Below are 22769 nucleotides of genomic sequence, written 5' to 3'. Positions count from 1 at the left end.
GCAATGGAGCAATCTCAGCTCACTGCAACCTCCACCTCCCGGGTTCAAGCGATTCTCCTTTCTCAGCCTCCCGAGTAGCTGGGATTACAGGCATGCACCATCACTCCCAGCTAATTTTTGTATTTTCAGTAGAGACGAGGTTTCACCATGTTGGTCAGGCTGGTCTCGAACTCCTGACCTCAAGTGATCCACCAGCCTCGGCCTCCTAAAGTGCTGGGATTACAGGCATGAGCCACTTCGCCTGGCCATGGTTTCTCTTCCTTATCTTTTTTCCTAACATTTTCTTTTCTCTAGCTTACTTTATTGTAAAAGTACAGTACATAATACATATACAAAATATGTGTTAATTGGCTGTTTATGTTATCATTAAGGCTTCTGGTTAACAGTAGTCTATTAGTAGCTAAGTTTTTGGGGAGTCAAAATTTATATGCAGCTTTTCAACTATATGAGGGGCTGGTACCTCTAATCCCTGTGTTGTTCAAGGGTCAACTATATTTAATTATAAGTCTAACTATAAAGTTAAAGGAATTAAGAAAGTGTGGCATTGGTCTAAGAATAGACATATAGACCAATGGAGCAGAATAGTGTCCAGAAATAAACTCTGTACATATAAAATCAATTGATTTTCAATCAAGGTGTTGGATATCTAGAACTAGGTATCTATATGGAGAAAAAATGAACTTCAAACTCCTACCTCATACCATCCACAAAAATTAATGTAAGATGGATTATAGAATTAAACATTAAAAACTTATAAGCTTCTAGAAGAAAATATAGAACATCTTTTTTTGTATTCTTGGGTTAGGCAAAGGTTTCTTAAAGAAAAATTTTAAAAGACTAAACATAAGAAATAAATTTCACTAAAAACTTGCATTTCTTAAAAATTGGAAACTCTCTTTGGCTAGTCACAGAGTAAAAAAAATTGAAAACTCCTATTCATAAAAAAATCACATTTAAGAAGGCAAGAGAAGGCAAGTCACACACAGGAAGAAAATATTCACATTTATCTGACAAAGGACTTGTAGCCAGAATATATAAAGAATCCCTATAAGTCAATAATAATAAGACAAATTATGAAATTTTTTATGTAGGCAAAAGACTTGAAGAGACACTCCATAGAATAAGATAGACGTATGGCCAATAAACATGTGAAAATGTGATCAACATCCTGAGTCATTAGAGAAATGAAGATCAAAATTACAAAGAGATATTATTTCACATGCTCTAAAATAGCTAAAATGTAAAAGTCTGACAGTAATCAAATGTTGATGAGGATGGAACAACTGAAATTTTTTTTACATTGCTGATAAGAGTGTGAAATGATGCAATCCCCTTAGAAAACTATTTGGCGATTTCTTTCTTTTCTTTTCTTTTTTTTTTTTTTTGGGATGGCATCTCGTTCTGTCACCCAGGCTGGAGTGCAGTGGTGTGATCTTGGTTCAATGCAACCTTTGCCTCCCGGGTTCAAGCGATTCTCCTGCTTCAGCCTCCCGAGTAGCTGGGACTACAGGTTCGCACCACCACGCCTGGCTAATTTTTTTTTTGTATTTTTAGTAGAGACAGGGTTTCACCGTGTTAGCCATGATGGTCTCCATCTCCTGACCTCATGATCTGCCTGCCTCAGCCTCCCAAAGTGCTGGGATTACAGGCATGAGCCATTGCGCCCGGCCAGCAATTTCTTATAAAGCTAAGGGTACCTATCCTGTGACATAACCATTCTGTTCTTAGGAATTTCCTCAAGAGAAATAAAATTATATTTTCAGAAAAAGACTCACATGAATGTTTACAGCAACTTTGCTCATATAGCCCAACCCTAGAAGCACCCAAAAGTTTATCATCAACAGAGAAATGGACCAAGAAGTTGTGGTATAGGCATGCAACGGGCTATTACTCTACAATAAAAATCAATACATTACTTATATATGCAACAACATGGATGAATCACAAAAACATTACCTTGACCAAAAGAAGCCAGACACACAAAAAGTACATTCTGTAGGATACCTTTTATATGAAGTTTAAAACAGGCAAACTGATCTTTGGTGCTAGAAATCAGAGCACTGGTTACTAAGGGACTAGAAATCGACTGGAAAGGGACATGAGAGAACATGTGGAACAAATGGAAATGTTCTATGTCTTGATTGTGTGGCGGTATACAGGGAAATGCATTTATTGAAACTCATTGAATTTTACACTTAAGATCCATGAATGTAAGTTTCACCTAGTTTTAAAAAAAGAAGAGAGACTCACATCTAAAATACCTAAAACTTGAAAAATATTATATAAGATGAGGAAAAAAATTATTTCTGATTCCATGCTACTAAAAATAAGCTACAAATGTGATTCATAATAGAAGAAGCCATTTTTATATTTAGCACATAACTTAAAGGTCTAAAGGACAAGCAAGCTGGGCGCAGTGGCCCACGCCTATAATCCTAGCATTTTGGGAGGCCAAGGCAGGAGGATCACTTAAAGTCAGGAATTTGAGAACAGCTTGGCCACATGCTGGTGAAACCCTGTCTCTCTAAAAATACAAAAAAAGTTAGCCAGGCATGGTGGCACACGCCTGTAATTCCAGCTACTTAGGAGGCTAATGCAGGAGAGTCACTTGAACCCAGGAGGTGGAGGTTGCAGTGAGCGGAGATTACGCCACTGCACTCCAGCCTGGGTGACAGATCAAGACTCCGTCTCAAAAAAATAAATTCAAAACAAAATAGAATGAAGGAGAAACAAGACTATTTAGTAGACTGAGAATAGCTGTTTCTTATTGAGGGATAAACTGCACCAAATGCTATTGTAAGCATTATTATTTCCTTCATTTTAAGGGTGAGGAAACAAGGGCAAAGAGAAGTTAATTAGCTTCATCCAGGGCACGCAAACTAGGAAGAGGCAGCTGGGATTTGAACTCAGGGACTCTGGCCCAAGAGCCTTAACCTCTATCCCATGCCCCCTCGTGCTTGTAAAGGACTTGATGCTTTACTTAGACTTTCCCACAACAGTTTCTTGTCATCCTCGTGATGGTCCCAGGACACAGGCTGGTCCAGGATAATGACCCCCGGCTAACAGATGGTGAGTCTGAGACCCCAAGGGGTTGGATGGCCAGCTCCCAGGCCTCCAGACCATGGGCCGTTGTGCCGGGCCGCACACCTGAGTGGGCCTGGCTTTTTCCTGCACGCAGGGGTGCTTGGGCCCTGCTTCCTGGTGCTCCATGGGAGTATCTGGCCTTCAAAAGGAACAGATCGATCTGAAGTGGGGAGAGAGAAAATACAGCAGGACCATCACTCAGAGAGTCGCTGTAGAGGAAGAGAGGGAGAGGAGACGCCAGGACATGGGAGCTTTGTGGGAGGGAATGGGACTATTTGCTGAGCTTTGTACAGCCCAGCCCAGGCAGTGCATACAACAAGGCTTTGCTGATTTTAAATAACACAAGGAAATAGCAGCCCCAGGTCTGAGTCACCAGCAGAGTTTTACTCTATTTCTCAGCTCACACAGGGACAATAGCAATGGCAGGCACTGCTGGGAGATAGGCTAGTGGGCTGGGCCCTGGCAAAATCACGACGTCCTTGAAAACAGTCCCAGGACCTTCTCCTTCCCCTTCGGATGGCCCACCACCTCACCCTCTGCCCTTTCGGGACCCCAGCCCCTCTCCAGTCTTGCTTCCACAGGCTGCTCCCTGAGGGCAGACCATTCTTGCTTTTCCCTTCACCATCGGGACTCCCCTGTCCTGTGTCCAGCTCCTTGGAGGCTCTACTCTCTGCTCTACGCTTTCAAACATTTCCTTACACTGTTCTCTCTGCCTGGATTTCCCTCCTTCTCCTTGCTTCCCAGTCTCTCTGAATATCCAGATTTCTTCTGGTCTTCTAGCGTCAATGCGTGTGCCTCTGCAATGCCTCCTTAATCCACTACATTGAGAGTCATTGCTCCTTTTCCTGTGTTCTCACTTTATTTACACTTTTTGCATGCCAATGACAAAATTCTGCCTTGTATCATCGGCAGAATTTTCCATGTCTGATATATCTCCCTCTGGATTGTAATACGCTCTTAAAGGCATCGTTCAGATTCGAATGATCTTAGTACAACTCCCCTCTGTGAAGGCCAAATGGCACACAAGCCAGGAGCTAGAAAGCCCTGGTTGCCTGTGGAAATGAATGAACACACATGGGCTGGCAGCCGTGTCCCTGCACACCTGCCTTTTCTCAGAGGTGTGGCCCTAGCAGGGTAAGCTGTCTGGAAGAGGGAGCTATTTTGTGCAGATGGAACATTTTGTCCCCTTAAATCATGTCCCATGAAAGGCCAGCATGGCATCCTGCTTCTGAAACAAGCACTGAGCTCGTCTCCATTTGGAGAAGATCTGTCGTGTGGGTATTTTTAAATGGTGAAAGGAGAAATGGGTATATCTGATACCATGGCACTTGTTACACTTTAAGCACAGACTCTGTTATTCATACTCCATCTATTGACTCAGGGAGGAGTTTATTTCAAACCAAACAGCTCAGCTATCCCAGGAGCAGCTGCCTCAGAAGGAAGGAGGATGCTGTTCTATTTCCCCCATCGAACCTCCTTCTCACTCGATCCACAACAGCCTTTCCATGCAAGGAAGAGGCTATTTTCTTTCAAGCTTTATTCTCCATTTTCCCTGTGGCAAGAAAGGTGATTGGATATTGGGATTTGTAATGGTTTTATCTGAAAGCCATTTAAAATGAAGCTGGAATGTCAACAAGACTGACGCTGAATGGAGTAGATGTGAAGTGGAAATGAACTTGAAACAAGAGATGGGGTTAGTCATCCCCCTGATCACTTGGAACAGATGATGGAGGTCCCCTGCCTCTGCTCCAGTGAACAGAACAGAACCACTTGAATACTGCCAGCCACTGTTTGTACATACCCTCCTGAAACGGCTCTTCCAAAATGCTGAAGGACATTTTGTTTTCTTAATAATTTGGCCTTTCCACTGTTTCTGTATGATTGATGTGTTTCAGCAAACCTTTTTTAAAAAAGAATATCTACAGGTAAATTTAGCTCATCATGTTTGAGAATATTCACCATCTCTAAATCCCCAGGGCCTAAATCAATGAGGTTTTAGCACATTTTGAAACAGAACCCTGATGTATAAATTCTGCAATGGCTGATTTCACGTATTTTACTTCCTCTCTAACAAAGCTATGGAAAAATGCACAAGCAGGGGAGGGTTTGATCCTCGGTGTTTCCTGCAGATGTGAATCTGACACCACCTTGGAGCAGGGCCCCTCCCCACCTTCTCCCAATCCTCCGCTGGGTTGCTGCATTTTTCACTCCAAGAGACCCCGGAGGACAGCTATATCCGAGGCTTATTAAAATCTTCTAGGATGCAAAGGCCTTTGGTTATTCAGAGCAGCAGGTCTTTAGGGGAAGCCCCCATACACAAACATGCTCAGCTGATTCTCAATTTATATTGTGTGTTACCTGCGGGGAAAATTAAAAGCTCAAACCTCAGGCACTTTCCCTCTCCTCCCTTGATTGCCCGGGGGCTTGTTGTTGAGATATTTCTTGTTGATTTTTTTGTTTTTTATGTCTCTGGCTGGTGCTAAACATTCTTTCTTTCCCATCATGTTTACTTCACATCTCTTTGCCGTATAGATAGCTTCTGCTTTATGGTTTTTTCCTCCTTATCTCAGATGCAGCCAGCCCTTCCCCACCTGCCCCCGCCCCAAAACACACACACGAACACACACCCTTTCAGACTGCATCCACACTCTCTGTTTCAGTGGATCTGACATCAACGACCCCGCCACCCCCGGCCCTCGTCAGAGGGGAGCTCTGCATTGAACTAGGACTAGCTCCTGGGTCATAAAAGTTGCTAGGACCCTGGAGAGCTCTTACTAAACAGATGAGGCCACCACTGACAGAGGAGAGAGGTCAGTTCCCGGAGGGAACGAGCCTGCTTTGCTGAGCCCCCTTCCTTGCCCAGCCCCCAGACCCATCACAGGGAAGGTTCAGAGGAGCTCTGACCCCTCCAGTACCTCCTTGGCCTGACGCCGCTCTAGCCCGGGCTCCCAGGTTTTCTGTAGGGAGAGGAGCACAGTCCGCTCCACCCATGCCATGGGCTTCATCAGTGACAACCCAAACTCACCCCCAAATAGGAATGGCTTCAACCTGGAGACAGCCCTTCAATGAAATGGTTTATGCTGGTGGAGATTTAAAGGTATTCGTCTTTCGGCTGGGCGCGGTGACTCACACCTATAATCCCAGCACTTTGGGAGGCCGAGGTGGGAGATCACTTGAGGCCAGGAATTCGAGACCAGCCTGACCAACATGCGAAACCCCATCTCTACTAAAAGTAAAAAAATTAGCTAGGCACAGTGGCGCATGCCTGTAATCCCAACTACTTGGGAGGCTGAGGCACGAGAATCATTTGAACCCCGGAGGCAGAGTTTGCAGTGAGCCAAGATTACACTACTGCACTCCAGCCTGGGTGACAGAGCAAGACTCTGTCTCAAGACAAACAAAAAGGGTGTTTGTCTTTCAATTGCAAAAATCAAGCATGGTCACTGAAAAAAAATTCAAATTCACATTTCATTTTGTTTTGTTTTGTTTTGTTTGTCTTTCAGCCAGGTGCAGTGGCTCACATCAAAGTATGCTGCTTTCAATATCTTCTCACTCTCCCTCCCCAGGGATAACCACTTTCTTTTTTATTTTATTTATTTAACTTTTTTGAGATGGAGTTTCACTAGTTGCCCAGGCTGGAGTGCAATGGCGCAATCTCGGCCCACCACAACCTCCGCCTCCTGGGTTCAAGCGATTCTCCTGCCTCGGCCTCTTGAGTAGCTGGGATTACAGGCATGTGCCACCACACCCAGCTATTTTTGTATTTTTAGTAGAGACGGGGTTTCTCCATGTTGGTCAAGCAGGTCTCGAACTCCCGACCTCAGGTGATCCGCCCGCCTCGGCCTCCCAAATTGCTGGGATTACAGGCGTGAGCCACTGCGCCCAGGGGGGTAACCACTTTCAGTGGTTTGAGATGTTTGTCTCTTCATAGAAGAAATATATGCATATAGTTTGGGTTTTGGTATTTTTTTTAATTAATGGAGTTCTAATATACATGCTGCCTTTTTTCCCTTACCATGGAATTGACACAGGATAATAAATTAATTCTAAGCAACAAATTTTTCTTTAACCCATCCTGTCTCTAGGTTTCTCCTCACAGAAATTACAACCCCTTCTCTTGTGGTTCCATCCCATCCCTAAAACAGTATTTATCCTCCCTTCTCTGTACCATTACTGTTTCTTGTGCGAAATTGTACCTTGGAGTATGTACTGAATGGTGTTGTACTGGAGGCCTGGCGCGGTGACTCATGCCTGTAATCCCAGCACTTTGGGAGACCAAGGTGGGCGGGTCATTTGAGGTCAAGAGTTCCAGACGAGCCTGGCCAACATGGTGAAACCCCGTCTCTACTAAAAATACAAAAATTAGCTGGGCATGGTGGCGGCGCCTGTAATCCCAGTTACTCAGGAGGCTGAGGCAGGAGAATCGCTTGAACCCAGGAGGCGGAGGTTGCAGTGAGCCGAGATCGTGCCACTGCAATCCAGCCTGGGAACAGAGCAAGACTGCATCTCAAAAAAAAAAAAAAAATGGTGTTTCCCTTGCACTGGTGCCCTGTTGGCTCCTGGCCTCCCTTCTAGACCATCAGCTACCTGTGGGTGGGAGCCTGTGCCTTTGTCATTGGTCCATCCTCTATCCCGAGGCCCCGGGACATGGCCTAGAACATCAGAGACTCCAGCGGCTGTTTCTCAAAGTGAACTGAACTAGCTGGTGTTTCCCACACGATGGAGCCCCCTCGACCTGCCCTCGATTCTCTCCTGACTTATTTCTCCCCACATCTTGGGCCAGTTCCAGCTGGACTAGCAAAGAGGGCAGCTTTACCTCTGTGCTCCCAACATGCCCTAGTGGGTGGCGTATGGATGGGGGAGCCTGGGACAATGTGTGTCCATCTCACACACTCTCTACTTCCCATGCCAGTGGGGAAAGTGGGGGCAGGAATAGAGCCCGGGAGGGAACTGCCAGAGACTGTCTTCTCTGCTAAGGCTGACAGGAAGACGGACAACCATGACAGTGGTGGAAGGGGAAGGCCCTTGGCCCACGGGGAATGGCTGTCTGGAAGCTGACTTGTTGTTGGGGGCCTGGTTTGGGCAGGAACCCCTGGGGTGGCTGCAGAAGGAGGCTGGGCTTCACAGACCCCTGTCGGCAGGCAGGGGCTACGCCCCCTATACTAGGCTTCTGCTCAGGGCAGCAGGGCCCGGAGCCACCAGCAGAGCTGAGGAGGCTGCAGAGGAGGCTGAGAGATCCATGGAGGAAGAACATGGTGGAAAAGAGTGCCTGAGGTCCGCTTCCACGGCCACTCTGACCAGCCTGGGCCTTCTGTGCCTTAGCATTCCCGTTCCTAACATGGAACTCATGGCCTTTGACCCGCTTCCCTCACGAGGCTGCTGAGAGGGTCAGAGAAGAAGCCGCATGGGGACTGGCCTCACCCTGGGAGAGGTGAGCAAGCCACGAGGTCCCATGTTGCATGAAAAGTCAAATGCTGTTAGGACGACTCCCAGGATGAGGAGGTCTGACCCCATGCTCATCGTCTGGACAGCTCTGACCCTAGAATTTATTTCCTCTTTCCCCACAGGGCAATCCTTCTACTCTCGGGTCCTGGAGAACTGTGAGGATGTGGCTGACTTTGATGAGGTAGGAGGCCCAAGACTCCCCCCTCCCTCAGCCCTGAGCCCAGAGGGGAACAGCCACCCTTCGCTGCCTCTTGCGGGCACACACTGGCCCCAAATCCCAGGCACTGGCCTGCTCTGAGCCCCTCACCTCTCAGCTGCTTCCTGAAGGAGGTGGTAAGGAGGGTGTGCAGGAACTCCCTCCCCCATGTTCCCCCCAGAAACCTCTGCACAGGTGAGGCCCGTGTGCAAATGACACGGGGAACAGCAGCCTCGCCCACCTCGACGGCCCTGCTGGGTCTGGGCCTGTTATTCCCTGTGGAGAAAGAGCCCACAGGTGCTGTAGACCTGAATGTGAGCCACCAGCTGAGGGCCCAACGAGGCAGGCGAGTGTTGGGGACGTCGCAAAGGCCAGTCTGTGTCAGTCCCCAGGGGTTGAAGAGCAGGGCAGCCCCGGGCACTGAGGTAGGAGCCCCAGTCACCAGGGAAACATTGTCAAGCACCCCACCTGAGTGAGGGCGCCATCTCCAGACCTTGAGGGGAAGCATAGGGAACAGAAGACAGTCTGGATTTTCAGAAACAGCTCTGGGGGTTCCATGAGAAAAGACGTGAGCTGCTGGTCTATTGACAACGATTTTTCTCAATCCTCACTCCAGCTGGGCTGTTGTCACAATTTTATCAGCAAAGGAGCAGGCGACACCATCCCACAGGGGTGCCCAGGAGCAGTGAGAGGACTTACAACGCTTCCCTCTCCCTGCCCTTCCCCTCGGTACCTGGCCGGGCTGGGAGCCCTATCCTCACACACACACACCAGCTCGAGCAGCCTGCGGCCTCCTCCGCCTCCTCACATTCTTTCGTCTATGTGTTTGCTGCTTCCAGAATCTATATTCCCCTCTGGCTGCTGTAGGTTCTCCAGGGATGACTTTGGAGTGAGGGCCAGCAGTCATCCGTCACCATCTTAGCACAAACTGGAAGCCATGTAGTGACCCTCAAATAGTGTACCCCCTCTCTCCTGGGGTTGGCTCTCCCGCTTGGCTCTGTGGGGGCTGGGAAGGGCCTCATAGCAGACTGTGCCTCTTGAGGTTGGCTGCTGGCGTTCGGCTGAGCAGCCACCAGGCTGACACTTGGCACCAGCTGTCTCCCCCTCCTCCAGAAACCAGGCCACACGATGTGGCTGTGTCCATCGACCCAGAGCTGGAGACACAGGGAGCAAAACCTCGCTCCTCACTCAGGCTTAGGCACAGCCATCAACCATCGCGGCCCAGCACCACACCCTCCCCAACCACTTCAGGGCGCAGTTGCCACGACCTCCCTGGTACGTCCCCACTGCTATGCAGGACAGGTGAATCACTCATTTAAAGTGAATCACTAGAGCTAAGGAAGTTTCTGTCCTTACCTTCTCCCCCTCCTGGCTGTACAATGACCTCAGTTTCTAAACCTGCCACCATCTTTGTCAAATGGGGTTGGTGATGGGTGTGAAGGTCTCTGTGAAATGATGAACAAAATGAAGGGTTATGGTGAGAGTGGAATCATGGCTGCCCACTGAGACAGCTGTCATAGATGCTTCAGGCTTGCCCCATTACACACCCGGCCTGCTCCCTCCCCTCCCCATTTCCTCAGTCAGGGCACTGGGCTGGCTGGGAGAAGATGCCAGCAGCCTGGCCCAGTTTCCCATAGTCCTACCTCCCTGGGCTTCTGCCCACTAATCCACCAGGCACAGCATCTGACTCCCTCCTCCCAAGACTCCCAGGGGATATGTCAGCCCAGGCGTTCAGCCAGGGGGCAACCTGATGCCCCTTCCAAGGGCACTGCCACCCTTTTCCATGCCCAGCGCCTTGGACACCTGAGCCACAGGTATGCACGACATTCAAAGTTAATCACCATGTCGTTCCTCTTCCCAACTCCGCCCAGCCTGCCTCAGGGGGAGAGTCTGTCTCTGCTGGCCCTGAACAAGGGGCCACATTCCGAGCATCTAGTGCATGCCAGGCCGGGCTTGAGATATCCCAGAGGCAGGAACCTGGGCTCAACACCCCATGATGATTTGTATGGGAGCTTAGGGATGGGGTAGCCAGAGTCAGTGTGGAGAGACTGGGGCAGGGCAGAAGCAGTTATGGAAGAAGCACATGACTAGGGTCAGAGAGCAGGGCACGCGATGGGGAGAAGAGGCTCCTGCCCGGGGAAAGTGCTGCCCGCCCACTGGGGAGACAGGGAAGTTTCTGGTTGTTGCAATGAGGAGCCTACTGGCATTTAGTGGGGTGGGGAGCAAGGATGCAGAATGACTTGCAATGCTCAGGCCATCCCGCACTTCCCACCTGGGAGCCCCGTGGGAAGATGGTGGCAGCCCCAGCAGCAGCACTGAGCTGCTTCCCGAGCCATGCCCCTTCCACTCAATCTCCGAAATCATCCACAGACGAAATTAGGCTCAGATGGTAACTACCCTTCCCCAGGTGACAGAGCTGGAAGCGGCCAAGCCAGGGTTCTGAATTCATGCATAGATTAGACCTAAGCCCTCTCTGGATACAGTGATAGGGCCTGACTCCCACCACCCCTGCAAGGCCCGTGTTGGAGTCTCTCCACACCCCCTGCCTCCATTTCTCCCTGGGCAAAGTGGCCTCAGCCCTGGCCACCAATGGTCAGCAGTGCACATCCCACAAAGCAGGAAGGCCACCCTCCCATTCCCTGTTCAGGAACGGCCCGGAGGCCTGGGTCAGCCCAGTCCCAAAGGTAGCCTGGAGCCATACCCTGGCTTTAACCTTTCTCCCTAGACCCAGTGGACAAGTTGTAAACTTCCCTGGCTTCCCCCTGAAAGAATCTGCCTGCCAGTGGTTCCAGAATATCCTGGGAAAGAGCCCTTTCAAATCCCCCTGAACCTTCTTGACTTTCCAGAAAGCCTCTTCTCTCCGTCTTACTCTGCCCAGGGCCTGCCGGAGCCAGCTTAGTGAGACACACTGGCCTGGGAGTCATGAGACCTACACCACAGTCCTTGCTGAGGAACCTCTTTGGGCTTTGGATTCCCCTTCTGTAAAAGAGAGATATGCTCCCTGCTCTATCTGCCCCACGGGACTGTCACAAGGCTAAAAAAAGATGAAATGAGAGACAAGAAAGCAAATGTCTCTCACAGCTCTACTAGGTAAGGGGTTCCAAGCAAGGGAGGGGCCCCTCCTCTGCTCAGGCATGGGTGAGAGGGGCTGCAGCAGCTGGGCTTAGGAACCTGAGTGGGGAGGAGGATGCCATGGAAGAAAGACAATGCTCTCTACAACAATGGGTGGAAACAGAGCCTGGACATGGTGTCTCCTTTCCCAGAGGCTGGAACCTGAGCCCCTACATTTAACCTACAACTCTGGAAAAGCTAGGGAGAGACAGAGAAAGACCCAGCCTTTGTGACCTGGGGAAACAGGAGTAGCCACCTTTAGCCAGTTTGGTTTGGCTCTAACACAGGCCCTGTGTGGAGCAGGCCCCAGGGGAGAGGCCAGAGTAACAATAGTACTTGTGCCAATGATAAGAAGAACTGCTGCTATTTACTGAGCACTTAGTGTGTGGCAAGATGGGCTGAGAGCTTGACACAAGCATTAGACTCACTAGAACTTGCTGGATTGGTAGCATCCTAGGTGATAAGGAGCCACAACAGGATTTAAACCCGAGTCTATCTGATTCCAGGACCTATGGTCATTTGTAAAGTAGACAAGACTCAGCCCTGCCCTCAAGGGGCTCAGTCTAGCGGGCAGATGGACCCACTACAAACAAGGAGGGACCCTGGGCCTTCTGAGCCAAGAGGAAGAAGAGGTCTCCAGCCTGGGGGATGACAGGGCAGGGGAGTTTGGCCTTATCTGCCCCTTTCTGCTTGTACCAGGAAGTCATGGCTGTTACCTCCTGGAGGCCAGAAACGCACCTGTCTTGTTCGTCATTGGCCTGGCACCCAGCATGGAGTTGAGAAAATGTTGCCGAGTGAAAGAATGAAAAAAACAGTGACGTTCACTAGGACTGGCACCTGTCACCGCAGGCCTGTGCCCAGACCGAGTGGGCTCAGCAGGGCTAGTGGTACATCAAGCCCTTTGCTGTGGCCTGGATAGAAAGGAAGCAGGCAAGGCACAGATGAGATCACCTAAAGGGACTTTAGATCACCTTGATCTCTAAGGTTAGAGATCATCTAGTTTAACCCTCTTGTCTTGCAGTTGAAGAAACAGGTCTTAGAGTGGGGAAGAGAATTGCCCAAGAAGACCAGCTGAGATCTGAGATCCTACATTTAACTTACAACTCTAAAGAAGCTGGGGAAAGAGACAGAGACAAAGACAGAAACAGAGAGAGAGAGACAGAGACACAGAGACCCAGCCTTTGTGCCCTGGGAAAGTGAAATAGCCACACTCGGGATACTGAGCCCAGGCCTTTAAGCTTGCAAATCCGTCTCTTTCCATTGTACTCTAAAGCAGCAGTCCCCAACCTTTTTGGCACCAGGGGCTGGTTTCGTGGAAGACAGTTTTTCCACAGACTGGGATGGTGGTGGCTGGGGGTTATTTGGGATGAAACTGTTCCTCCTCAGAACATCAGGCATTAGATTCTCTTAAGGAGTGCACAGCCTAGATCTCTTGCATATGTTGTTCACAGTAGGGTTCACACTCCTATGAGAATCTAATGCTGTCACTGATCTGACATTAGATGGAGCTTAGGCGGGAATGCTCGCTCACCCGCGGCTCACCTCTTGCTGTGTGGCTCTGCTCCTAACAGGCCATGGACTGGTACTGGTCTGTGGCCCGGGATATGGGGACCCCTGCTCTAAAGCTTTGTAGTGCATCTCAATATTTTCCCCCAAACCTATAGCCCTGTCCCTTTAAGGATGCTACCTTGCTGATTTAGGATGGTTCCAGGCCCACTCAGCGGCCAAGCTGGACATAATCCAGATCATTCTCCAAGGTACATCAGGGAAACCTTTTTTGCAGAGTCCTAGATCACTGGGGCTGATAGGATGCAGAACCCTGTGCCCCGGCCAGCACCAGCCAGGTCAGGGCTAAGCCTAGACCAGGAAACTGGGTCAGGACTCAGCACTCCCCGGGCTCCTGAGATCACTCCCTCCAACAGAGGCCCTCTTTCCCTCCCTATCTGTACTACCTACCACCTTGCTTCTGTCAACAGTCCTATCCCAGGCTGCTATTCCAGGTCTGTGTCTGTCTCCAGAACTATCCAGGACCATCCCCAGGACTGAGAAACAACCCTGCATCCCTGCGTTCTGCACAGCGTCATGCACAGAGCCTGGCACACAGCAAGTGCTCAGCAAATGTTCGCCCCCAGCATGGGGCTTGCTGGCTCGTGACATCTTGAGTGACTGTGTTTGGCTTAACTGCTACTTGAGTCCCCCAGCAGTACCAGGCTTCAGGAGAGGATTCAGTGTAGTGGATTAAGCCCTGAGGACTGAACTCCAGACTAAGCATCCTGAGACTTGAGTTTGAATCCTGCCTCTGCCACCAACCAGCCTTGTGCCCGCGGGCAACTCTCGCCTCTCCACTTTCCCACTTGTAAAAGGAGCACATCTTTGCCATGTTGCTGTGAGCTTGGTTATGGGTAAATGTGCTCTGGAAGTACTAAGTCCTACCCAGATGAAATTCTTCCTTCAGAAGCCCTTTTCCTTCAGTCTTTTTTTTTTTTTTTTTTTTTTTGAGGTGGAGTCTTACTCTGTCACCCAGGCTGGAGTGCAATGGTGCCATCTGGGCTCACTGCAACCTCTGCCTCCCAGGTTCAAGCGATTCTCCTGCCTCAGCCTCCCAAGTAGCTGAGATTACAGGCATGCACCACCACACCTGGCTAATTTTTGTATTTTAGTAGAGACCGTGTTTCACCATGTTGGCCAGGCTGGTATCAAACTCCTAACCTCAAATCATCTGCCCACTTTGGCCTCCCAAAATGCTGTGTTTGCAGGTATGAGCCACTGCCCCCAGCCCCCTTTCCTTCAATCTAATAGCTCACAAGTTCAATACCATAGTCAGGAGAGGAGTGTAGCTCCCAAACCCTCAAAATCCTCATCTCGTCTTGCTGTGTTCTCAGCATATCACCCCAAATGGAGGAAAGGACATAACCACAAAAATGAGGAGACAATGAAAAATGAAATTAGGGAAGAGAAGATGCAGTGAAAGAGACACGTGAAATCCACAGGCCGAGGCAGAAGAGGAAAGTGATGGCGGCGAAGGGGAGGGAGGTGGCATGACAAGGAGACAAGGCAGTTGCAGACCTGCACAGAGTTCCCACTGGGAAGATCTAAACTAAACACATTCTGCCGTGCTGTGTCACTTACGACTGCTGTCACCTGTGAGATCCCATTTGATTCTCTCAATAGCCCTCTAAGGTAGATATTGTCACCCCCCTCTTTTCACAGATGGGGAAGCTGAGGCACAGCTAGTGAGTGGCAGAGCCAGGGCTAGAACTCAAGTCTCCTGACTCAAACTCAGAGTTTCTGCAACACCACGGAGACTCCCAGTCTGCGTGAGATACAAGCCTCGGTGTTGTCAGAAGAACAAAAAAGAAGCAAAGGGTGGGCATGTCCTTTGGAGCTCTGTGAGGTGCCCAGAGCTCACAGAGGCTGCCTCAGCAAAGGAAGGTGTCAGCAATGGGAGATGGGGCTGGAAATGCTGTCTGGGCACAGCAAGGGGGCCTCTGGGTGCTAGGAAGGGGAATCCCCACCTCTTTCAGGGAGCTGTAGAGGAGCCACTGAAAAGTTTTAACAAAGGAGAGATAAAAAGAGAGGAAAATTCAACCCCAAAAGTCTCCTTCTTACAGCCCATGCCTCTACTTCCAGGGAGGCCAAATGGGAGTAACCCCCAGTCCCAGACCCTGAGTCACTTCCCTCCAGCCAAGAGGCCCGTCACCCTCCGAGGCCCCACACTGATGCCAGGACCCCACCTAGAGGTGCCGGCTTGATCGGTCTCCAGGCTGGGCCTTGGGATTTTTAAAAGCTTCTGGAATGGATTGCAGTTCCAGCCAAGATGAAGAACCCCTGAGAAAGACAGAGGGAGACAGAGACAAAGGGAGAGATAGAGACAGAGAGAGAAACTGATGAAAGAAAACAGATGTGGTGAGGAGAAGAAAGCAGACGAATGATGCGGGAGGGAAGGAAAAGAAATGAGGGGAAAGCCTCGTGTGGGTGGAAAATGCGGGAGGGAGACAGGGGAGGAAAGAAAGGAAACTGTAAGGTGGGAGCAAGTCAGAGACCGAAGAAGCTGCTGTGACTCAGTGAGGACCCTGTCTTCTCCCTCACCCGGAAAGCCTCCAAGAAGAACATTCCCCGCTGACATAGGCATGGACTGCCCAGACCCGGCTGACGAATTTCTGAAAGGGCACCTGAGCCACACACCTACACACGCTTCCCCTGATTATTCTCATCTGCAGTCAGGGGCCCCGGAAGCCCCCTGTCTCCTGTGCCCTCCCTGTCCCCCGACTCTCACTCAACAAACTGGCCCTCGCCCCGCAGCCAGGCAGCCTCCCTCCCCAGGTCCCTTAGCCTCAGCCTCCCGCCACCGTTCAACACCCCACCTCCCTTTCACAGGGCCATCTCCAAAGTCATGTCCTTTTTCTCCTGATCTTTCTCTCCTTCCAATGCCAAAATCCCACCCACAGACCCTCAGGGGGACCAATCACCCCTCCCCTCTTCATCCCCAGTAAACCAAATCTCGGTGGCTCCTGCGGCCCCCCGACTCCCACACAGCGCCCTGGCTGATGAGCTGGGCCTTCCTGGGCTGCTTTATTTCCCTGCAGCCCCATAAAAGCAGCTTCATTAAGAAAACCACACACTCTGCTGAGCTGCCAGAGGCATCCAGAAGCTGGAGCCGCAGCCGCTGAATGAGGCCTGTGGGCCGGGCTGCCTCCACTTCCTGGGACTCTCAGCGCACCCCTCCGCCCTGTGCCCACCTCGCCTCTGAAGCCCTCCCTAGGCCCTGCTCAGAACCCTCCCCACCCCACCCCGCAGACCCCTCTCCCGCTCCTCTGCTTCTTCCTCCCTCTCATGCCAAGGCCAGGTCCTCCCTTGCCAGTCCTGAAGGGAGATGTCACAAAGGCCGTTTTCCTGAGACAGGCCCTGCCCACACTGGGCAGTGACCCGCGGTGCTGGCCCAGTGTGCCCAAGCCCTCCAAGTCCCCAGGCTGGGAGAAGGAATCTCAGCTTTGGGAATGGCAAACGTGCAGGGTGGGCTCACAGAAGCCTCCTCCCGAGGGCCTGCTCAGCCAGCAACAGAGTGCTCCAAGTCATGCATCTGCTCTGAGGCCGAGTTCCTTGTTTATAGAGCACAGAAGCCATTACCCACCTCTCCGGCCATTGGAAAGACTAAATGAATGAATATGCACGTAGAGCATTCAGACCTCTGCATAAGAAAAAGTTCCCCAGAAATGGCAGCGATTATTACTATTATTATTTATTACTGGACTATTGAGCAGTCTGAATTTGGTAGGGTATAAAAATGGAACTAAAAAATAAAAAGTCACTGCCTTCTACCAGATCTGTCAAAATCCTCCCTGACACGGTCTCTCCACAGCGTCTTGAGCAGACCTCAGCGTTGTCTGGTCCTGTCCAGAAGGGCTTCCTACTCCAGTCTGGCATCCTGTTCACCCCTGGCCATCCTCCTTCCCTCATGCTTGTGGCTCAGGATGTGGAGTGGGACAGGGACCCCTGCTGAGGCCCTCCACATCCTCCCCTGGTGGGCAGCCCATGGAAAAACTGTCCTCATATCACTCTACCCCACTTGGCCAATGGAGCGCAAATAGATGACTTGCCACAGCCAACAGTGGCAGGCTGGGCTCCTTGCCCTGCTGTACTCTATGGGTCTCCTGCCAGTCCACTGCCCTGCAGATGCCACTGGGGATTTGCATGCCATGCTGCCCCTCTTGCAGGTATCTAATCACCATGAGCTGTTTCCCCAAGAAGTACCACAAAAACACTACGCCTAGGACAGAATTCTTCCCACCTTTCCCTTGCCCAGTCTTCTTTCCCATCCCAGGAAGGTGGGCTGGGTGATGGTTGGAGGTAACAGGGCCTTTGAGGAAGCCCTAGGAAGATGTCTGGCTCTGCCCATTGGCAGCTTTTTACAGAATGGGGCACTGGGCCACTTTAGCCTCTGTTTTGAGCCATTGTTGCCACTTCTAGGGCACCAGGAAAAATCCCAATCAAATTCCTACTCATCATTAACATTGAGTTAGGGAGGAAGCAACGAAGAAGTGGTAAGGGTGAATCTAGAAACAATGAGTTGGGGACAGGCTGTGGGCCTGACCCCAATAACACTAATCAGCTCAAACCTGTCCCCAGTGTTACCACTGGCAGAGTGAGGAGTGGTTTGAACTCAACACAGGAGTCTGGGGCAGAGCCTGTGCCAGTCAGGGTGATTCTGATGAGAGAGAGCTGGAAGCTCACAGCTCCATTCAGCACCCACCAAAAACCAGGCTCACACCCACATTCCTTGCTGTCTCCCTGGGACCCGACCACCACCCTGGTTGCACCACCCTCTCCCAACCCCCCTCAGGAGCTGGGAGGCCATGGAAGCAGCGCTGTGTAGGGAGTCAAAAGTCCTGGTAGGTCCAGGCTCTTCACCTACCACATGACCTTGGGCAGGTCCTCCAACATCTCTGAGCACCATCTTTGAAAGAGGAGTGGGCAACAATGCCGGCTCTACAAGGTGGTTGTTGGAACTAAATGAGATTCCAGGTGTCAATGCTTTGTCCCTGGGGAGCACTGGGCCCAAGTGAGGGGCCACTCTGACTGTTGGAGATCCCCACAAGAGATTCCCCTCCCACACCCCACGGCTCCTACCTGTTATTGCCACCGAAGCCGCAGTTGTCCCTCTCTCCCCAGACATTTCGGTGGCCGGTGGCCAGCAGCATCGACAGAAATGAGATGCTGGAGATTCAGGTTTTCAACTACAGCAAAGTCTTCAGCAACAAGTAAGTGTGGGATGGGGCAGGAGGGGCTGGGCCTGGACGGGCTGGGAGCCTGCTCTTCTCCTTGGGCTACCCTCTGTTTGGGGCTTAAAAAGGGGACCTACACTCCCAACCTGCCCTGGATTGATCTTCAAAGACCGAAGAAATCTTGGGCTGGTCTTTGATCCCCATTTTGATCCCTCTTCTTGTCTTCAGAATCCCCCAGTTCTCCCAGCTGCTGTCAGCCAAGAACACTCCACCCTCCTATCACCTCTGCTGTCTCCAACCCCATCAAAGCTTCCTGTCTTAAAGACTTAAAGCTTTAAGTCTCCCTCAATGCCACGCTGGGGTACAGTTACCCACTGGAGAGGCGAAAGGTGGAGGGGCTGATGATCTCCTCCAAGAGACACTCTGTAGCCCTGAGGGCAGGCTTGACAGTTTGGGGTGGTGGTTTAGGAGTCAGGCAAGCCTGATCTCAGACACTCAGGTCAGTCATCTACTGTGTGACCCTGGAAAGGTTACATAACCTCTCTGATTTCAATGTGCTCATGTGTGAAAAGGACAAGTATTTACCTCAAAGGGCAGCTGTGTGAATTAAATGAGATAGATATTCACTCACTCATTCAACAAATGTTTACTAAGCGTCGATTGTGTATCAGGTACTGAATTAGGTGATGCAGAGGGCGGGGTGCCTACCTTCATGGAGCTTGCACTCCACAAGTGAAGTACACCTGCCATACGAGCGTTATCACTATAAGGTGTTCAATAAAAGTAGTTGTCATCCTTCTCTCTGGGCCATGAGAAGAATTCAGAAGGATTTGAACACGCTGGAACAGTGGCTAAGTAATATCTTGGGTTAAAAAATCACAGCCAGGTGTGGCACACACCTGTAGTCCTAGGTCCTTGGGCAGATAAGGCGGGAGGATCATTTGATCCCAGTAATTTGAGGCTAGCCTGGGCAACATAGTGAGATCCCATCTCTTTAAAAAAAAATCGGTTGCTCTTATACAAGCTGGAGGTCATGGCTTAACTGTAACATGTCCAAGAAGGTATGGAGGTGTTAGCTCACTGAGGACTCAGAATGACTCAACAGTGGGAGGAGACTACAAACAAAAGAAAAGTAGGCCTCATCCTAAATCATACTAATAGAATTAAAGCACTCCTGATCTGAGCAGGAGAGACAAGGAGTCCACTGCTCTGATACTAGTGGCAGAGAATTCCTGTAGGCACCACCCTATAGTTTCCAGGAGGAAAGGGACTTTAAGTGTTACCTTATAACAAATGGATGAGAGCCTGAAAGGGAAAATCATAGAGGACATATTCATCCATTCATCCATCCATTGATCCATTCATCCATCCATCCATCTATCATTCCTGTTATTCATCCATCTGCCTATCCATTTGTCTGTCCATCAATTGATTTATCCACCCTTCCTTTCTTTCATCCATCCTTCCATCCTTTCATCCATCCATTCATCAATCCATCCCTCCATCCATTTATCAATTCATTTATCCACCCATTTATCCATCTATCCATTCATCCGTCCATCCTTTCATTCATCCTATCCATCCACTCATCCATCCATCCATCCATCCATTCACCCATCCTTCCTTTCATCCATTCATTCATCAACCCAATCCTTCCATCTTTCCATCCATTCATCCACCACTTACCCTTTCATCCTTTCCATTCATCCTTCCATCCACTCATCCATCCATTCATCCATCCTTCCACCTTTTTTCTTTTCCTTTTTTTTTTTTTTTTTTTTGAGACAGAGTCTTGCTCTGTGGCCCACAGTGGAGTGCAGTGGCCTGATCTCGGCTCACTGCAACCTCCGCCTCTCTGGTTCAAGCAATTATCCTGTATCAGCCTCCTGAGTAGCTGGGATTAGAGGTGCTCACCACCGTGCCCAGCTAATTTTTGTATTTTTAGTAGAGATGGGGTTTCACCATGTTGGCCAGGTTGGTATCGAACTCCTGACCTCAAGTGATCTACCCTCCTCGGCCTCCCAAAGTGCTGGGATTACAGGCGTGAGCCACCACTTTTGGCCCATCCTTCTATCTTTCCATTCACTGATCCATCTATCGATCCATCCATTCTTTCATTCTTTCATCCATCCTTCCATCCATCATCCTTCCTTCCATCCATTCATCCATCCTTTCATTCTTCCATCCATTCATCCATCCATCCATCTTTTCACCCAACTTTGCAGTCACTCATCATACATATAGTGAACAAATGCTTTCTGCCAGTCAGACACTATGCTAGTCACTGGAGATACTGAGATGAGGTATTGAGGCACAGTCCCTGCCCCTACCCTCCCAGAAGGCTTTTTGCCACAGGAAGAGGAAAGAAAGGTGTGTACCTAGAGGCAGGATGAGGAACAGGCTGCTGGAAGACAGCAGACAACTGAAAGATAGCCAGTATTTTCCAGCCAATGTGCTGTCTTAGGAGGTAGTGAGCTCCTTGCCACTGGGAGAGGGTGAGCAAAGAGTGGACCACATTGTAGAGGGGATTTCTGAGTCAGGAAAGGCCCCACCATATGGGCTCCAAGGAGTCTCTGATTCTGTGGGTTTTATTAGGAGCTTTCAAAATCTCAGCTGAGTATGGGGCAAGGGCATTTCAGAAATGCTGTCAGGGCCACAGGGAGGATGTTTAGTGCACAAAGGCCTTCCCTTTGCCTCTCATGGCATCACACCATTCAGGCAGCTGCTTTTGGCACCCACAAGCAAGGTTGGTGAGACACCCCCCACCAGGGGCCCCCAAGGTGAAGCAGAGCCTTCTTCCCTGGGGTGAGATACCATGAGGGTGTGACCTATGAGGACAGGAGAAACAGGAACAAGTGGAAGGCTCACACACAGACCAAGTGGGTGTGAAAAAGGAAGGAGAATCGGAAGTCAAGCACCAGGGAGGGCACCTGAGAGCCCCTGAAGGAACCCAACCATAGGTGCCAAAGCATCCAGGAGCTTTACAGCTCAGCCACTACAGCCCTAGCTGTGCAGGAGGGGAAACCAAGTCTCAGAGGGGAACCTGAGGTCACATGGGTAGACAATGGTAGAGCCAGGGCTAGAATGCATGTCTGTTAACTTCTCTTCCTAATCCAACTCCCAGAAACCAAAATATTTGAGCAGTGATGGTGGAAACTGAGGGCATGGAAGACATTGTTAAATCATTTATAATGAAAGCCACCAGCCTAACCACTGAAATGCTGGAAACACTTGAGCCCATCAAAAGACTGCTACAAACAAATCAGAAGTATTTGGGAAATCGGGAAATTGACTCCCATGCAGTGAATATGTTGAAAGTTACAGCTTCTATTAGGTGTTTTTGGTTTTTGTTTTGTTCAGAGACAGAATCTCACTCTGTCACCCAGGCTGGAGTGCAGTGGCCTAGTCTCGGCTCATTGCAACCTCTGCCTCCTGAGTTCAAGTGATTCTCATGTCTTGGCCTCCCGAGTAGCTGGGACTACAGGTGCATGCCACCAGGCCTGGATAATTTTTGTATTTTTAGTAGAGACAGGGTTTTCCCCATGTTGGCCAGGATGGTCTCGAACTCCTGGCTTCAGGTAATAGACCTGCCTCAGCTTCCCAAAGTGCTGGGATTACAGGTGCCAGCCACCAAATCCAGCCTGTATTAGATGTTCTTAAGTGCCAATAAGAAGGAAGACAGAAAGGGGAATAGTTCCTATCCTAACTCTCCTCTTCTTCCCTCCCTGCCCCCATCCAAGAGAAGGCAGGAAACCCCACAAGGGGAGGCCCAGGCCTGGTGGGAGAGGTTCTGGCATTTCTTTGGAAGCCTAGAGAATGCCCAGGGCACTGCTGGCTGCAGAGCTGAGATGGGAAAGAAGAGGTCCCCTTGTGGAGAGCACAGGCCCAGGCTGACACAGGCCAGCTTGTGGGGGTCAGAGTGGGAGAGAGGTGTTTGGAATGATGTGAGACTCAAGTCTCCCCATCCTGGCATTTGCCTGGGCCAGGCCAGAGGAGCAATGAGGCCACTGCCCTCAACCCCCACATGGCCCAGTTCAGACCCCAGGCTCCTTCTCATGGGGCAGCTGAGTGGAAGGGGTCTTTGGGGTCTGCACTAGGCTTAGCAATGAGCAAAGCCATGGCCACTGCTGGGGACAGTGCCTGGCACATGGCAGGCTCCTGATTATTTTGTGGAATAAAAGAATGAATAAATGCCCCTGTGGTGTTAGGAG

The 22769-nt window shown here is 50.2% G+C and overlaps 1 protein-coding gene across 2 annotated transcripts in view, besides 3 other annotated features; it reads left to right on the top strand.

Annotated features, from left to right (window-relative positions):
- Positions 1 to 22769, top strand: part of OTOF (otoferlin) — a 101554-nt gene that overhangs the window by 12331 nt on the left and 66454 nt on the right. For both annotated transcript variants that reach the window (NM_001287489.2, NM_194248.3), the window contains exons 2-3: positions 8652 to 8710; positions 18506 to 18594. In NM_001287489.2, the coding sequence (NP_001274418.1) occupies positions 8652 to 8710; positions 18506 to 18594 (148 nt within the window). The remainder of the gene's footprint in view (positions 1 to 8651; positions 8711 to 18505; positions 18595 to 22769) is intronic.
- Positions 2634 to 3368: an enhancer, noted in NCBI's record as "H3K4me1 hESC enhancer chr2:26765926-26766660 (GRCh37/hg19 assembly coordinates)". NCBI's record gives its function as "activates a minimal SCP1, AML or CMV promoter by ChIP-STARR-seq in naive H9 embryonic stem cells {active_cell/tissue: H9 hESC(naive)}" and the evidence as "EXISTENCE:reporter gene assay evidence [ECO:0000049][PMID:30033119]".
- Positions 7741 to 8669: an enhancer, noted in NCBI's record as "H3K4me1 hESC enhancer chr2:26760625-26761553 (GRCh37/hg19 assembly coordinates)". NCBI's record gives its function as "activates a minimal SCP1, AML or CMV promoter by ChIP-STARR-seq in naive H9 embryonic stem cells {active_cell/tissue: H9 hESC(naive)}" and the evidence as "EXISTENCE:reporter gene assay evidence [ECO:0000049][PMID:30033119]".
- Positions 8670 to 9598: an enhancer, noted in NCBI's record as "H3K4me1 hESC enhancer chr2:26759696-26760624 (GRCh37/hg19 assembly coordinates)". NCBI's record gives its function as "activates a minimal SCP1, AML or CMV promoter by ChIP-STARR-seq in naive H9 embryonic stem cells {active_cell/tissue: H9 hESC(naive)}" and the evidence as "EXISTENCE:reporter gene assay evidence [ECO:0000049][PMID:30033119]".

This window comes from Homo sapiens, chromosome 2, assembly GCF_000001405.40.
Source record: "Homo sapiens chromosome 2, GRCh38.p14 Primary Assembly".
NCBI classification, from domain to species: domain Eukaryota; kingdom Metazoa; phylum Chordata; class Mammalia; order Primates; family Hominidae; genus Homo; species Homo sapiens.
Note: the sequence above shows the minus strand (reverse complement) of the source record. Positions and strands in the feature narration are given on the sequence as shown.